Source organism: Homo sapiens, chromosome 4 (assembly GCF_000001405.40).
Source record: "Homo sapiens chromosome 4, GRCh38.p14 Primary Assembly".
Lineage (NCBI taxonomy): Eukaryota > Metazoa > Chordata > Mammalia > Primates > Hominidae > Homo > Homo sapiens.
In genome coordinates, this window is record NC_000004.12 from 152,134,292 (window position 1) to 152,153,143 (window position 18,852).

Sequence of the window (18,852 nt, forward strand, 5' to 3'; positions counted from 1 at the left end):
AGGTCATGATGATTTTTAAGCAACAAAATCTATATTAGTCAGGATTCTCCAGAGGAACATAATCAATAACATATGTATAGCTTATATATGAGGGAATTTATTATGGGAATTGGTTCACACAATTATGGAGGCTAAGAAGTCCCACAATATGCCCTTTGGAAGCTGGAGAACCAGGGAAGCCAGTGGTTTGAATCAGACTGAGTCTGAAGATCTGAGAACCAAAATGGGAGTGGGGGATGAGGGGCTTCTGGTGTAAGTCCCAGAGTCTGAAGCCCTGAGAACCTGGAGCTCCGATGTTGGAGGACAGAAGAAGAAGAAGGATATCCCAGCTCATGAAAAGTGTTCTTCTCCAGATATGATGACTTTGAAATTTTGGACCTTTAAAAGGATTTTTCTGAATCAAAGACATAAAAACGTATGGCTTATGTAGATTCAAGTAAAACTTTTTTGGCATGTATGCTGCGGCAAGTAATCCATACTTCAATCGTACAGCAAAACTCCAACACTAATTTGTGTTAAGAATAACCATCTTGCTGAATCTGCTGAAGGAATGATCTTCTGCAATGCTCTCTACTCTCCAGTGTTGAACTCTGGAATTCTGCAAGTGACAAGGAAGAAATGAACAGGGCAAAACATCTGCAGTAATTCAATAAGAATATGATGTGTATATTTCATTTCTCAAATTTTATTTTAGATTCAGGGTATGCATGTGCTTGTTTGTTACATAGGTATTACATGCACAATGGTGGGGGTTGGCTTCTAGGGTACCCATCACCCAAATATTAGACATTGTACTCAGTAGGTAATTTTTCAACCCTCACCTTCCTCTTTTCCTCCCAGGTTTAGAATCCTCAGAGTCTATTTTCTTCATCTTTATGTCCATGTGTACCATGTGTTTAGCTTACACTTCTAAGTGAGAACGATATGTGCATATTTGATTAATATAGTAGCCCACCCACTGCAAGTGGGTCTTTAAAGAGAGAGAGAGAGAGAGAGAGAGAGAGAGAGAGAGAGAGAGATTGCACAGGGGAAAGGATCATCCTTCCTTTCCCTCTCCCCCATCAAAGAACACTCACAAAACAAGAGCAAATACTCTGGAATTCTCTGGCCTCCAGATGAAGGCTAATGTGAGTTTCATTTCGTGATTAAAAAATAACCTGTTGTCAACATGTTTACATGGATGGAAATGCACAGACACACAGAGACACAGGCACATGCACACATCATTATTATTAGAAAAGGTAAAGCTGTCATTGAGCTTAAAAACAAACAAACCACTAAGCCACAGATCTAAGGGCAAATGCTGTGGTAGGTAAGTGCATGTAACCACTGGACTTAGAGACTCTATTTTTTATTGCATTTCTAATTTACTTTGATTTACTAGAACTAATTTGCAATAGTGACTGGCAGCCAGCCCTTGGAAAGGGTGCTTCCAAATTTAAAATTCAATTTTAATTCATTTCAACAAATGCTTATTGAGCCCTTTCTAAGTGCCAGGTATTATGCTAGGGCCTGGGGATAGAGATGTGAATAAGAAACATGGTGGCCCAGTCCACAGTCTAGCAAAATGTCAGAATTAAGATTACCCACTGATTTCCCTCATAATACATCTACTACCAAGCACTTTCTAGGATTCCAACTCATGCCCTCCACTTGGCCAGTTGTCTGGGGCTGCCTCATAGGAGCAGGGGCCATGAGGCACACCCTCTGGTAGTAGCAGGGTTTACAGAAACATGGAGCCTTTGAGCCAGCAGAGCTGGTGCTGCTGGTATAGATAGGGTTGGTCATAGCATTAGGGCTCAGAGGCAGCCCAGCAGAGTCCAGACCCTTACCAGGCAAGCTCTGCAGCTGATTTTGGATATTGTTCTGAATGTGCAGGTCCTCCATAGCCTCAGCAACTCTGTGAGCCAAATGTTATCCTCTTAATATATCCTTTTTGTGCTTAAAGCAGCCAGAATCTGTTTCTGTTGCTTGCACCTCAGAATCCTGACTGATACACATGGTTAACCTTCTACCCGCTAAGAACATTCTGTTCCATTTCAAATCCCATACAGGAAAATGCCTGGAGAAAACAAATAATGTTCTATATTACTGTAACATACTTTATCAAATTTAAAAAGTCCTTTTAGCCAGTGGTTCTCAGATGCAGTCCTGGTTCTCACATGGACATATCATCACTAACTCTAGGTGGTGCATCTGTAAGTCTGTTACAAATCAAAAATGGAAATGTAGGGATTTTAGTTTTCCATCAAATTAGAACCAATTCAATGCCACCACTGTCACTCACTTGCATTCATATTTGTTTTCTTGAACAAGAAAAAACAAGTGGAATGATGGTGCTAAAACTGTTTTCACAGACTACACTTTATTCTGTTTGGGCTGCATCTTGAGAAGTGTCTTAGGTATGGCTGACATCTGCATTAAACTGTTTCATCTTTCCAATATGCAGGGGAGAGCCTGCTTGCACACATGAGCAAACACTGTACTATGAGAAGTGACCATTTCAGGAAGGGCTGTATTTGCGGTACTGCCCACTCAGGACACACGTGTTCCTTGCAGGTGCCCACCACCAACTTTGGTGGCCATGGTATCAACCCATCCACCAGCAACCTTTCATATTAAGTTACAGAACACATATCATGGGGGCCCAATTTAACTCAAGGATGGGGAAATGTTTTAAATTCTAGAGCTGCTCTGAGCCATATGAGACCAGTAACGTTGTGTAACCTTTCTTTACTGTTTCTATGTGTGTTCCACGCACAGCTGTTGCAAGGTATGATATTATAGTTTGCCCAGACTCTGGCACCTGTTGTAGGCAATTTGAAATAAAAACAAGTTGGTGGGGAACATGATAAGATATCTGAGAGCACATTTCATTCACTCAGAATACCCCCGCAGACTATTCTATTTCAGCAAACTCCGTAACCATTCTTCTTTGTCATTATTTGCCAAGAGAGGGGGAAAATAACACATCTCTTTTTATAGAAAACAAATCGGTGCTCTGTGGTCCAGAGGCTGCAGATACAGGCCTCTTTTGCTCCCTCTCTTCCAGGCTGTTCTCCCTTCTCTTGTTTGTGCTCATATTTCCTCCACCCTTTCAATTTGTCACAGTTGCCTTTCCCAAAAGAGCTTTCATTTCCTCTTGTTTCTCTTTCTGCACTCCCTCCCCATTGCTTTTTATGAGAGGACATTGAGGCCCTGGCAGACCCAGGAAGGAAAACAAATTAATGCCACAGCCCCCTCAGGGATGGGCATGTCTGGCTCCATGAACAGAGGGGACTTGGCATGGGCATCCACCTAGTAACCCTTGAGACGCCCTGCTCAGGGGCTCACCCACGTCCCTCCCACCTCAAAATTGTCTCCTTGACTATGAGATTGCTTGGGACTGATTTGAGAAAGAGCTCGGAGGTCAGCGATATCTACTAGGACAGGAAAGGGAGATTTGGAAAAGGCAAGAAAATGCAACTGCACTGTGCATTGTTGACCCCACTAGAGTCCTCCAGATTCATTCATTGATGCTCAGACTGCTTTTTGGTCTTTAGTTTCTGTTCTGAAAATGGAAGTGCTATACCTAAATTCTTTACCAGCCAACATAGTTTTTGACAACCTGTTATGAGGCTGGGGATGGAGAGACTTGGCCCAGAGCATACAAAACCCAGAATGGGACTCTGAACAAAGAGATGTGAGGCAAGCCAACTGTGTCTAACTCAATGCTGCCTGAGGAATGGGTAGGTGGTCTGCTATGTAAAAAAGAGAACTGGGTTTACAGCTAGACATACCTGAGTTCAAATCTCAGCAGCTCTATGTAGTCTTAGGGAAGTCACTCTGTTTCCTAGAGCTTCAATTTTCTCATCTGTAGAATATGGATCGCAACAACTTCCAGGGGTATGGTGTGTATTCAAATAGATAAGGTATATAAAGTGCTTAGTGAAGTGCCTGACTATGAAATAGCCCCTCAATCAAGTACAGCAAGTATTTTCAATACATATAATACTGTTGGAATCATAGCCAAATAGTCATAGTTGAATCTCCATTGAGAAGGGTCAGTCTCTTTTCTACTTGTTTCTCCTTCTCCTTCTTTTCCTTCTCCTGCTCATTTTCTTCTTCTCCTTCTTCTCCTTCTTCTTCTTCTTCTCCTTCTTCTTCTTCTTTTTAACAGCTTCATTTATGTAAAATTGAGTGATTTTAGCTGTAAGAGCTTGGAGATCGGCAATATCTACCAGGATAGCAAAGGGAGATTTGGAAAGGGCAAGGAAATGCAACTGCACTCTGTATCAGTTTGTAAGCCTTAGCCCTAACCTCTAAGCAGATCAACTCCGGAGAGCATGATGAAGCAGGATGCTTCAGGAGGATCGGCTGCATCATGACCACAAATGCCACAGTGCCATCTGTTCATGCAAGATGCAGACAGGCAAAGACTTGAAGGAGGAAAGAGGGACTTTGGGACCTCACCTCCAGCAGCCCTCCAGCTCTGGGGCCAACACAGGCAGGGACAACCCCTGCCCCTGCAAGTTGTCCATAGAAATGGCCCCTCCCTGCTCTGATTTCCCTTTTATGCTTCTCTTCCACAGGGGGATTTGTTCTTCCTGTGCTGCATTCTCCCCAAGGGAGCCAGTTTTCCTCCAGCCACCTGAACTCTTGCTCATCTCCACATGCCAATTGCCACTCATTGACAATACTCCCAGCGCACACAGGAGAAAGGGCAGCTAGAGGTAGCACAGCACAGGCACAGAGACAGGCCCCTGCCACCCACGCTGGCTCACGGGCTGGAATGGAAATAACCAAGAACTCGAGTGGGACCCAGAAAACCAGAAAAGTCACATTTTACATCTTGGTCAGCCTGTGCCTCTGGAAGTCTCATTATGTCCAAGTGTCTGGTAAATAGAAAGGACCTACTGACATGACTTGCAGAGCTAGTGGGGAAATGGAAACCTGCAAAAATAGCTGCAAAGTAGCCATATGTAGAAAGCTGAAACTGTGTCCCTTCCTTACACCTTATACAAAAATCAATTCAAGATGGATTAAAGACTTAAACGCTAGACCTAAAACCATAAAAACCCTAGAAGAAAACCTAGGCATTACCATTCAGGACATAGGCATGGGCAAGGACTTCATGTCTAAAACACCAAAAGCAATGGCAACAAAAGACAAAGTTGACAAATGGGATCTAATTAAACTAAAGAGCTTCTGCACAGCAAAAGAAACTACCATCAGAGTGAACAGGCAACCTACACAATGGGAGAAAATTTTCACAACCTACTCATCTGACAAAGGGCTAATATCCAGAATCTACAATGAACTCAAACAAATTTACAAGAAAAAAACAAACAACCCCATCAAAAAGTGGTCGAAGGACATGAACAGACACTTCTCAAAAGAAGACATTTATGCAGCCAAAAAACACATGAAAAAATGCTCATCATCACTGGCCATCAGAGAAATGCAAATCAAAACCACAATGAGATACCATCTCACACCAGTTAGAATGGCAATCATTCAAAAGTCAGGAAACAACAGGTGCTGGAGAGGATGTGGAGAAATAGGAACACTTTTACACTGTTGGTGGGACTGTAAACTAGTTCAACCATTGTGGAAGTCAGTGTGGTGATTCCTCAGGGATCTAGAACTGGAAATACCATTTGACCCAGCCATCCCATTACTGGGTATATACCCAAAGGACTATAAATCATACTGCTATAAAGACACATGTACACGTATGTTTATTGCGGCATTATTCACAATAGCAAAGACTTGGAACCAACCCAAATGTCCAACAATGATGGACTGGATTAAGAAAATGTGACACATATACACGATGGCATACTATGCAGCCATAAAAAATGATGAGTTCATGTCCTTTGTAGGGACATGGATGAAATTGGAAAACATCATTCTCAGTAAACTATCGCAAGAACAAAAAACCAAACACCGCATATTCTCACTCATAGGTGGGAATAGAACAATGAGATCACATGGACACAGAAAGGGGAATATCACACTGGGGACTGTTGTGAGTTGGGGGAGGGGAGAGGGATAGCATTGGGAGATATACTTAATGCTAGATGACGAGTTAGTGGGTGCAGTGCACCAGCATGGCACATGTATACATATGTAACTAACCTGCACAATGTGCTCATGTACCCTAAAACTTAAAGTATAATTAAAAAAAAATAGCTGTAAAGTGATCAAGAAAAATTACTCTGGAGAAAGATGATTCGTATTCCCATGTTGAAGATTTCAGCTGAGAAGGAATCAATGTCTGTTCTTCCTCGTTTATTTTTGTTACAGCTTTATTTGCATAGAATGGAGGCATGATAAATTGCACATATTTAAAGTGTAAATTTGACGAGACTTGACATAGGTAGACACTGGTGAAACTTTCACTGCAATCAGGATTATGAATGTCTCCATCCTTGCTAATATTTCCTCATACTCCCTTGTAATTTGTCCTTCCTTCCCATCAGCCCTAGGCAACCACCGATGTTTTGTTTTGTTTTGTTTTGTTTTTGCCATTATAGGTTAGTTTTTAGTTTATGAAATTTTATTAAAATGGAATTATATACTATATAGTCTCATTTGGGAGGTCTGGCTTCTTTTACTCAACAAAATTCTTTTGAAATTCACCCATGTATTTTCACACATCAATACAATTGTGTATTTTTGTCATACATTGTTGTTGTTGAGTAAAACTTACGGGACAGTTATAACACATTAAAAAAAATTCCAAATGTCTGTTTCTTTCTAAATATTGTTCCCACCCACTTTTTGGGAATGAGATGGTAGACACTTGGTCTTTAAGAGTTCCTCAAGCTGGTATCATTCCTTCCAAAACTATTCCAATCAATAGAAAAAGAGGGAATCCTCCCTAACTCATTTTATGAGGCCGGCATCATGCTGATACCAAAGCCTGGCAGAGACACAACAAAAAGAGAGAATTTTAGACCAATATCCCTGATGAACATCAATGCAAAAATTCTCAATAAAATACTGGCAAATCTAATCCAGCAACACATCAAAAAGCTTATCCACCACGATCATGTCAGCTTCATCCCTGGGATGCAAGGCTGGTTCAACATATGCAAATCAATAAACAGAATCCATCGCATAAACAGAACCAATGACAAAAATCACATGATTATCTCAATAGATGCAGAAAAGGCCTTTAACAAAATTCAACAGCCCTTCATGCTAAAAACTCTCAATAAACTCGGTATTGATGGAACATATCTCAAAATAATAAGAGCTATTTATGATAAACCAACAGCCAATATCATACTAAATGGGCAAAAACTGGAAGCATTCCCTTTGAAAACTGGCACAAGACAAGGATTATCTCTCTCACCAATCCTATTCAACATAGTGTTGGAAGTTCTGGCCAGGGCAATCAGGCAAGAGAAAGAAATAAAGGGCATTCACTTAGGAAAAGAGGAAGTCAAATTGTCCCTGTTTGCAGATGACATGGTTGTATATTTAGAAAACCCCATCACCTCAGCCCCAAATCTCATTAAGCTGATAAGCAACTTCAGCAAAGTCTCAGTATACAAAATCAGTGTGCAAAAATCACAAGCATTCCTATACACCAATAACAGACAAACAGAGAGCCAAATCATAAGTGAACTCCCATTCACAATTGCTACAAAGAAAATAAAGTACCTAGAAATCCAACTTACAAGTGATGTGAAGGACCTCTTCAAGGAGAACTACAAACCACTGCTCCACGAAATGAAAGAGGACACAAACGAATGGAAGAACATTCCCTGCTCATGGATAGGAAGAATCAATATCAAGAAAATGGCCATACTGCCCAAGGTAATTTATAGATTCAACACCATCCCCAACAAGCTACCAATGACTTTCTTCACAGAAATGGAAAAAACTACTTTAAAGTTCATATGGAACCAAAAAAGAGCCCGCATTGCCAAGTCAATCCTAAGCAAAAGGAACAAATCTGGAGGTATCACACTACCTGACTTCAAACTCTACTACAAGGCGACAGTAACCAAAACATCATGGTACTGATACCAAAACAGATATATAGACCGATGGAACAGAACAGAGGCCTCAGAAATAATACCACACATCTAAAACCATCTGATCTTTGACAAACCTGACAAAAACAAGAAATGGGGAAAGGATTCCCTATTTAATTAATGGTGCTGGGAAAACCGGCTAACCATATGTAGAAAGTTGAAACTGGATCCCTTCCTTACACCTTATACAAAAATTAATTCAAGATGGATTAAAGACTCAAATGTTAGACCTAAAACCATAAAAACACTAGAAGAAAACCTAGGCAATACCATTCAGGACATAGGCATGGGCAAGGACTTCATGACTAAAACACTAAAAGCAATGGCAAGAAAAGCCAAAATAGACAAATGGGGTCTAATTAAACTAAAGAGCTTCCGCACAGCAAAAGAAACTACCATCAGAGTGAACAGGCAACCTACAGAATGGGAGAAAATTTTTGCAATCTACCCACCTGACAAAGGGCTAATATCCAGAATCTATAAATAACTCAAACAAGTTTAGAAGAAAAAAACAAACAACCCCATCAAAAAGCAGGCAAAGGATATGAACGGACACTTCTCAAAAGAAGACAATTATGCAGCCAACAGACACATGAAAAAATGCTCATCATCACTGGCCACCAGAGAAATGCAAATCAAAACCACAATGAGATACCATCTCACACCAGTTAGAATGGCAATCTTTAAAAAGTCAGGAAACAATAGATGCTGGAGAGGATGTGGAGAAATAGGAACACTTTTACACTGTTGGTGGGACTGTAAACTAGTTCAACCATTGTGGAAGACAGTGTGGCGATCCCTCAAGGATCTAGAACTAGAAATACCACTTGACCCAGCCATCCCATTACTGGGTATATACCCAAAGGATTATAAATCATGCTACTGTAAAGACACATGCACACGTATATTTATTGCAGCACTATTCACAATAGCAAAGACTTGGAACCAACCCAAAAGTCCATCAATGATAGACTGGATTAAGAAAATGTGGCACATATATACCATGGAATACTATGCAGTCATAAGAAAGGATGAGTTCATGTCCTTTGCAGGGACATAAATGAAGCTGGAAACCATCATTCCCGGCAAACTATCACAAGGACAGAAAACCAAACACTGCATGTTCTCACCCATAGGTGGGAATTGAACAATGAGATCACTTGGACACAGGGCAGGGAACATCACTCACTGGGGCCTGTCAGGGGGTGAGGGGCTGGGGGAGGGATAGCATTAGGAGAAATACCTAATGTAAATGACAAGTTGATGGCTGCAGCAAACCAACATGGCACATGTATGCCTATGTATCAAACCTGCACATTGTGCACATGTACCCTAGAACTTAAAGTATAAAAAAAAAAAAAAGAGTTCCTCAGCCCACAGCAGTCGCTCAGACCTGTAGTTCCAAGCTACTTGGGAGGCTAAAGCAGGAGGACTATGTGAGCCCAGGACTTCGAGGCTGCAATGAGCTATGACTGCACTGCTGTACTCCAGCCTGGATGACAGTGAGACCCTGTCTCAAAAAAAAAGAGAAAGTCCTTTAGTCTTTTACACATGAAATGATTCCCTTTCATGTGTTTCATGTGTTTTATTTTAGTGGCAAAGAAGTGAGCTTCTTGTATTCATCCAGAATTTGTCAGCAGCTGAACCACAAGTCAGGTTTCCAGTGAGTGGAGCAAGGAGTGGGGACACATAGGGAGTTTATGTAGAGAAAAGGAATGGAGCATATGTCAGCCTAGAAATCTTGGAAATGGCAGAAGTGGTCAGATGGAGATGATGCTAATCAAACATTTTCTGAAAAAAAAGTTAAATTTCTGAGAGTTTTTCATGTGTGGCTTTCAAAAAATATTTCTTAAAATTCACTATTCATGAAATTCAAGGATTTTAATTTTATCCTCCCACTATTCAGTAATAGTTTTGTTGCAGTTCTGAAAAATCACGCTCCAAAGTATGGCACTTTGGCATGCTGAGTACTTTGAACTGAAGGAGGTTGGAAGGCTGCCGAAGCAACCTCAGAAGCAAAGTCACCCTAACCTTCTCCTGCCTTTCTGTGTAGGAGCTGTCCTTAAAGAAGTTCTCTGACCTACTTTGACTGACAGTTGGCCATAAGACTCTCATTCCTAAGGGGTCCTGCCCTATACCAGGGAAGGAAAAGTGCTACACAGAGAGGCCAAGAAGAATCTGGATAGGCCTTGCTAGGTTTCCCCCCAAACTCTCTTACCATTAAATCCTACCTGTATTAATTTGTTTTCATGCTGCTGATAAACACCTACCCAAACTGGGAATAAAAAGAGGTTTAATTTGACTTACAGTTCCTCATGGCTGGGGAGGCTTCAGAATCATGGCAGCAGGTGAATGACACTTCTTACATGGCAGTGGCAAGAGAAAAATGAGGAGGAAGTGAAAGCAAAAATACCTGATAAACCCATCAGATCTCATGAGACTTATTCACTATCATGAGAATAGCACAGAAAAGGTTGGCCCCCATGATTCAATTACCTCCTGCTAGGTCCCTCCCACAACATGTGGGAATTCTGGAAGATACAATTGAAGTTGAGATTTGGGTGGGTAGACAGCCAAACCATATCATTCCACCCCTGACTCCTCCAAATCTCATGTTCTCATATTTCAAAACCAATCATGCCTTCCCAAAAGTCCCCCAAAGTCTTAACTCATTTCAGCATTAACCCAAAAGTCCACAGTCTAAATTCTCATCTGAGACAAGGCAAGTCCCTTCCGCCTATGAGCCTGTAAAATCAAAAGCAAGCTAGTTACTTCCTAGTCACAATGGGCATACAGGTATTGGGTAAATACAGCCATTCCAAATGGGAGAAATTGACCAAAACAAAGGGATTATAGGGCTCATGGAAGTCCAAAATCCAGTGGGGTAGTGAAATTTTAAAGCTCCAAAATGACCTCCTTTGACTCCAGCTTTCACATCCAGGTCATGCTGATGCAAGAGGTGGGTTCCCATGGTCTTGGACAGCTCCACCCCTGTGGCTTTGCAGGGTACAGCCTCCCTCCTGGCTCCTTTCACAGGCTGGTGTTGAGTGTCTGTAGCTTTTCCAGGTGCACGGTGCAAGCTGTCAGTGGATCTACCATTCTGGGGTCTGGAGGAAGGTAGCCCTCTTCTCACAGCTCCACTGGGCAGTGCCACAGTAGGGACTCTGTGTGGGGCTCCAAACCCACATTTTCCTTCTGCACTGCCCTAGCAGAGGTTCTCCATGAGGGCCCCGCCCCTGCAGCAAACTTCTGCCTGGGCATCCAGGTATTTCCAGACATCTTTTGAAATCTAGATGGAGATTCCCAAACCTCAAGTCTTGACTTCTCTGCACCCACAGGCTTGACACCATGTGGAAGCTGCCAAGGCTTGGGGCCTCCACCCTCTGAAACCACAGCCCAAGCTCTATATTGACTCCTTTCAGCCACAGCTGGAGCAGCTGGGACATGGGGCACTAAGTCCCTAGGTTGCACACAGCATGAGGAGCCTGGGCCTGGCCCATGAAACCACTTTTTCCTCCTGGGCCTCCAGGCCTGTGATGGGAGGTGCTGCCATAAAGATCTCTGACATGCCCTGAAGACATTTTCCCCATGGCCTTCGGGATTAACATTAGGCTTTTTGCTACTTATGCAAATTTCTGCAGCCAGCTTGAATTTTTCCTCAAAAAACTGGGTTTTTCTTTTCTACTGCATCATCAGGCTGCAAATTTTCTGAACTTCTATGCTCTCTTTCCCTTTTAAAACAGAATGCTATTAACAGCACCCAAGTAATCTTTTGAATGCTTTGCTGCTTAGAAATTTCTTTTGCCAGATACCCTAAATCATCTCTCTCAAGTTCAAAGTTCCACAAATCTCTAGGTTAGGGGCAAAATGCGACCAGTCTTTTTGCTAAAATGTAACAAGAGTCACCTTTGCTCCAGTTCCCAACAAGTTTCTCATCTCCATCTGAGGCCATCTCCACCTGGACTTTATTATTCATATCACTATTAGCATTTTTGTCAAAGCCATTCAACGAGTCCCTAGGAGGTTCCAAACTTTCCCAAATGTTCTTGTCTTCTTCTGAGCCTTCCAAACTGTTCCAACCTGTGCTCCAAAGTCATTTCCACATTTTCAGGTATCTTTTCAGCAACACCCCACTCCTGGTACCAATGTATTGTATTAGTTTGTTTTCACACTGCTGATAAAGACATACCTGAAACTGAGAACAAAAAGAGGTTTAATTGAACTTATGGTTCCACATGACTGGGGAAGCTTCAGAATCATGGTGGGAGGTGAAAGCCACTTCTTACATGATGGCAGCAAGAGAAAAATGAGGAGGAAGCAAAAGCAGAAACCCCTGATAAACCCATCAGGTCTTATGAGACTTATTCACTATCACGAGAATAGCACAGGAAATACCAGCCCCCATGATTCAATTACCTCCCCCTGGGTCCCTCCTACAACACATGGGAATTCTGGGAGATACACTTCAAGTTGAGATTTGGGTGGGGACACAGCCAATCCATATTGCTACCCTTTTTGTCCAGTCTTCTTTCCTATCCATTTTTCATTAAATTTAAGCCTAAAAATGGACAGATTTCCCTGGGTCTTTGGATCTTCACTTCTGAAGCCTCCCATGTCAGAGAAAACCTTGATTAAAATAAATTGGTTATACTTTTCCTTTATTAACCTGTCTTTTGTTATGGGAGCATTGGCCGTGACCATAATGATGGGTAAGGATAGGTATTAACACCTTCCAGCCTCTTGCAGTTTCCATTAGTCTTTCTGCAAAACATTAGAATTTGTTTTTCTTAGAAGACAATGCAATAGAATGAATACAGTAAACAATAGTATAATTTGAGAATTCAAATATCTTCTGGTCTAGTGTAGACATCATAGTACGTACTTTTCACTGTTTTCTTCATTTAACCATGAACATTTTCTTTAAATCAAAATCAGCTCCACACTGTTCCTCTCCTAGCTTTGGTTGTATAGGAATATTTTCTCTCCAGCTGACATGGACTTGCTTTATTCCTTTTTTCTGCAGACAAAAAATGTCAGTAGGCAGATCTTCAATGGAAGCCTGGTTATTTATGACTGTTCTTTTGTGATGAAAGGTGAATGGTCAGGTTGAGTTGTAAGAGAGGAAGGGAGAATTAGGAAATCACTACAGCAGTCAATGCTGGTAAGTTCAGGATTAGGACGAACAAGTAGGGAGTGAAAGAATAGGGAGGGAAGTTAAGAAAAGACTGAGGTGAAAGAGTTGAGAATCTTTCTGTCTACAGCACTGTCTTCCTCAGCCAGGAAACCAGTGACAGAAGAGCCAGCTGTTGAGAGGGAATCACCCAAGCTAGACAACTGGGAGCCACTTCAGTCTTCTTTCCTCTCAATTTAATTAGAAACTAAGACCTGTTGATTGCATTTCCTTAGCCTCTCTTTTGCCCTTTCCTCTCTTCTACTCCCACTGCTTTGGTTTAATGCCCATCACCTGTCAATCCACTGTGTTCCACCAGAGAGCCATTGCAAAGGTGCTCATCTGATCCCGCCTTGCAGGACAAAGTCCAAGTCCTAAACTTGGAGTCCCTGTAAGACCTGACCCCTGCTCACATCTGCAGCCTCATCCTCAGCGACATCAATTCCCCAGCCATGCCAAACCTCTTGCAGTTTCCTATAATTGCAGAAATACCTAGAGTACTTTTTTGAAAAATAAATTCCCAGGCTCTACCTCAGGAGGTTCTGGTTCGGTGGATCCAGCGGGAGGCCCATGAATCTCTTCTTTTCAAGATGCTCCCAGGTGATTCAATGGTCATCCAGCCTGGAGATTACTTCCTAGTTTGAGAATTAAATAGGTGAATATACATAACAATATTTTGTAAACTGTCAGTTTCCACACAGATGGCAGCCAGTGCTAACAAGAAAGGAAATGCACTGAAGAGCAGGCGGATGGTGCCAAGGCTAACACAGGTGGGAATTCTCCCGTCCCAGAAAATCTGACCAGCAGTGAAAACAGCCCCACAGCCCAGCCCAGGAAAAGTTCATAATACTCCCAGAAGATTTTTCAACCAATTTTTAAACTAGCCACATTGTTTAATCAAATGATTCATATAAGGAAGCCAAATTCTCACAGACACTGTTAGTAGAGTACCAGCAGCATTCCTCCTCTCTGTTCTTGCTGGCTGAGCCCAGATCCTGTTCAGGGTCTACATCTTCCATTCATGGTTCAGGAAAGGCCAATTATGGAAGGCCTTCTTGCCACAACTGGTTTAGACAGGGTTGGGACATGGCAGAGGAGGCCTGCACAGGAGCTTCTTGAAGAAATTAATCTTTCCTAGGCAGAGACATTTTGCCCTTTTCCCCCATTGGATATTTCCATGTCTGTGCAGGGTGCTTGGAACTATGGCAGCCCTCCTGCCACCTTGATAAGGGTTAGCACAAAGATCACACCCTGAGGAAGGCTAAACAGAAAACGGGAGGAACCCAGGTCCTTGAGGATGTTTCTGAGCCATCAAATTAACCAACCCTGGAATTTCTTTTTAAGTGAGATAATAAATCCTCTTTTTGCTTAAGCCATTTTTAGTTGGGTGTCTGTACTTTGCAACAGCAATAATTCTTATACACTAATGTATAAAACAGATTAAAATTGACAAATTATTATTAAATATTTATTTTATAGGCTTTAATTTGTAACTTTTATTATAAGAAGATAATGAAGAATTGCTGAGACACAAAACTTAAAATGGAGAGTTATGGATATAAATTGAAGTCATATCAGTCTTAGCATCCAATTTATTTTAGCATTTTGTTTTGAGTGTGTAATAGTGAGGGAAGTCTAATTTCCACAGATGAGTAGCTGCAAAAGGAGTACCAGTTTCGTTTTTTGTTTTTTTTTTTAATTTGCTTTGCAAACTCAAGACACTCTTCACTTAACAGTGATATCAGGAAAAGCTTTATTCCGATATCTGGGCTTATACACGCAAAATTAGGTTGGCAGGCACAAGTTAATGTGCTGATTGTTAAAGGTTGATATATAATATATTGTTTGTTTACATTAAAATATATGGTATTTTAAAATTTCAGCTGGGTGCAGTAGCTCACGCCTGTAATCCCAGCACTTTGGGAGGCTGAGGAGGGCTGAACCCAGGAGTCGGAGGTTGTAGTGAGTGGAGATTGTGCCACTGCCCTCCAGCCTGGGCAACAAAGTGAGACTCTGTCTCAAAATAAAATAAAATAAAATTTCAAATCAAGTGTTTGCAAAATACTCAAACGATCTCAAAAATATCCACAGGGATCTTAGGTTCCTCAGAATACACTTTCGAACCCTCTGTCCTAGCTTGTGCTAATTATACGCGATTCATCTAAAATCCAAGTTTCAAATGTGGTAGACAAGATCCTTTCCTCCTTCTATAACTCCAGTTTCCAAGACTCAAAGCTGGACCCTGTTTAATGTCATTCAAGTCTGGCAATAGGACAAATATTTCTTTAGCTTCATAGAAAATACACTCAAAAGAGGTGGTGTTTCACAGCGGGGAAGGGCTGACTGTGGGTCCAGACCACGCTGATGGCCTCTTCTCACTTCCTCCTCCCCCAGGCTCCAAAGCACTCCTTGTGCCCATGCCCACCCCCAGCTGCAGAACAACCCTGAGAGAGACTGGCAATGCACGCTGAGGCCAGACAAGAGAAACCAGGTGTCTTGGTTCTGGCTGCTATAACAAAGTACCACAGACTGGATGACTTATAAACAACAGGAATTTATTTTTCACAATTCTAGAGTGTGGGTGTCCAGGATCAGGGTGCCAGCAGGGTCAGGTTCTGGTAGCTGCCAGCTTCTGGTTGTCTCTTCATGTGGTGGAGGGCAGAGAGAGGGAGCAAATCTCCTGGCTCCTAAAGGGCACTCATCCCATTCATGAGGGCTCCCTTTATGACCTCATCCAATTCCAGTTACCTCCCACAGGCCCCATCTCCCAATACCATCACCTCGGGCAGTAAGGTTTCAACATGTGAATGTTGAGGGGACACAGATGTTCAACCGGTAAAGAAAGGAGCCAGCTCCCTTAACAGCCTTGCCCTGTAAGCCCACCTCTCCCAACCCCAGCCTCCCTTCCATTGTGGTTAAAACCTAGCTGTTTTTCAAGTTCACGTGTGCACATTTGCTTATTTCCTACCCAGAAAGAGCTAACAGGGCAGGCCCCTGGCATTGAGGGATGTCTTCTTGGTCTTTAACATAGTCTCTCTACAACCTTTTCCCCTCCACCCCACTCCCACTTTCCACCCAACTGGGCACAGTGATTTTCTACTTTCTAGTCTCTTCAAGTAATCCTAACAGGAAAAAAATCTGGTCTCAATATTATTCTTTAACTAAAACACACCAAAATTCTCCAAGCTATTTGTTTACTGAAGAAATGAAAGATCAAGACTGCAATCTCTTGGGAAAACCTGAGGCACTAGGTACAGAGGGGGGGATTTGGGGGAAAGCAGGGACTTCATTTGGTCCTGGAAGGCATGGTCTCCTCAAGAATTTAAACCATTTCAGAGCCCTGGGGACTAGGTGGAAAGGGACAGAAGGGCCCTAAGATGACCTCTTTTTGAGCCCAAAGCTCCTCATCTCTCCACCCAGATGTTGGGGATCCAGAGATGAGAACCACTGCATCCAGATGTGCAGTTCACAACTTACACAATTGTCCAGGGCAGCCCTGCCGGCGCTCTCTCCGTTGTGCATTCTCAGTGCTTTGTAATGTGATTCCCACTCAGCAAACCTCTTTAAAATGTCTACCATGTTTCAGGCACTATGCTAAGCATAGAACAAATCAAGATAAATAAAATATATCCTCCAGAAGACACAGTCTAGTGCAGAAAACAGATACCTGAAAATAAATATCCAGTGTTAAAAAAAAGTCATACACAGAATACTATATCAGCAGAGAAGGAAGATGTAATGTTGCCAAGAAGGATCAGAAAACTTCCAAAGGAGGGTGAAATCTGGGGCAGAATCTTTAAGGAAAAAGAGTAGGAATTCCCTATACAGACAAGAATATTCTAGGCAAAAGCTACTGGCTGGGCCAAGGCATGGAGATGTGAGGTTGGGTGATTTTTGCACAGCAATTTGGTTTGACTTCTACACTAGATCTCCCCACCATACCTGGAGGCCCCTTAGTTCCTCTTGCCTCACAACCTTTTAGGTAACTCTGCCCCTAGGCTCTCCTTTGTCTCAAAGGACTGAAAAGTCAAAGAAGAGATTCCTCGGCTGGGAGCGGTGGCTCACACCTGTAATCCCAGCACTTTGGGAGGCTGAGGTGGGCAGATCACCTGAGGTCAGGAGTTTGAGACTAGTCTGACTAACATGGCAAAATCCTATCTCTACTAAAAATACAAAAATTAGCCCAGCATGGTAGTGGGTGCCTATAATCCCAGCTACTTGGGAGGCTGAGGCAGGAGAATTGCTTGAACCCGAAAGGCAGAGGTGCCGCAGTGAGCTGAGATTGTGCCATTGCACTCCAGCCTGGGCAACAAGAGTGAGACTCCATCAAAAAAAAAAAAAAAAAAGAGAGAGAGAGAGATTCCTCAAGTGTGTGCAAAGCTAAGGGGTCCCAGAAGAGGAAGGATGTTTGCTTGCCTGAACATATCCCATGGTGTATAGATGAGCAGTAAGTCCTTATCTCCTACACCAGAATTCCTCTAAGTTCATGATATTCCCATTTCCTCATTCAATTAACAAACATTGGGTATCTCTTATATCCCAGCAGCTGTACGAGGAGATACACAGAGAAACCAAACATGCAGTTGCCTGCATGGTCCTTACTGGTGTGTTTCATGGTGTGTTTCCCCAAGGATTCAGTTGCCTGGACCCAGAGCAGTGACTGACTCTGCTGAATTAGAAAAGTGGAAAAACATCTTTTTCCTGCCCAACAGCACCTTTCACCCTCTTTGCCAGCTTTAAGACTTCAAGACCACCTCCAAAAACTCCTGAAGGTGGTATACAGATTCCACTGTGTTTGGAAGAGGCAGGATGGAGCACTAGAGATAAAAAGAGAAAGGGAGAGACAGGAGAAAAGGAAGAATGACCACTATCCTGCATAGCTGCCCAGCATCTGCTAAGAAAATAAAAATGGCTATATCTGCAGCCAGAGGCTTGTACCATCAACCACACACAGATCAATATGTGTTTATTGGCATTGACTCTTCTTTTTGTCAGTTTCTTTTCATTTTTTTCCTTTTGACTTTAAAAATAGTCTCTTCTTTTAGGAGAGAAAGGGATGTCCTTAATTTAACTCTTACAAATCTTATCTAATGCATAGTTATCCAGAGGCTTTACTTTATTCAAATGAGAGATATCAGTAAGTTTTAGGTTACTGAAAAGGAAAGATGTGATTTATTAAAATCAAATGTTTTCAGAGTATGAAAAGATGTAACCTAGAAGATATGATGGGGAGGAATTCCACAGGCCTATGGCAATTTAAATGTGTTCAAGCCAGTCTCAAATGAAGGATATTTTAGATTGTTCATTACTATCTAAAAGAAAAGGAAGAGGAAAAGGAGAAAAAAAGGAGAAGCAGCAATTGCCAAGAGACAGTTGTTCAATCCAATAAAGTAATGATCTGTGCAAACTCTAATTATTGTATTTGCAAAACAATATGTGTATAATTTGTGAACTTTCCCCCTCTCTTTCTAACACAATAAAGGATTCATTTCATAAAAACATTTTGTGTTTCTTTAGAAGATTTGGACAAAAACAATGCATCTTTAACTCTGAAAACACAATAATGGATCCTTGAAAGATTTATCTGAAATCAAATGCAGTTGTCATTCTATATCGATTATCTTGGCTATTCATTATCATATCCAGTCCATC

At 41.9% G+C, this 18,852-nt stretch overlaps 1 long non-coding RNA gene across 1 annotated transcript; it reads left to right on the plus strand.

Moving 5' to 3' along the window:
- The first annotated feature begins 15,740 nt into the window (after window positions 1–15,740).
- LOC124900800 (uncharacterized) lies at window positions 15,741–18,144 on the plus strand. The gene is made up of 2 exons (XR_007058333.1): window positions 15,741–16,073; window positions 17,744–18,144. It is a non-coding gene; the product is annotated as an uncharacterized LOC124900800 (long non-coding RNA).
- Window positions 18,145–18,852: the final 708 nt, after the last annotated feature.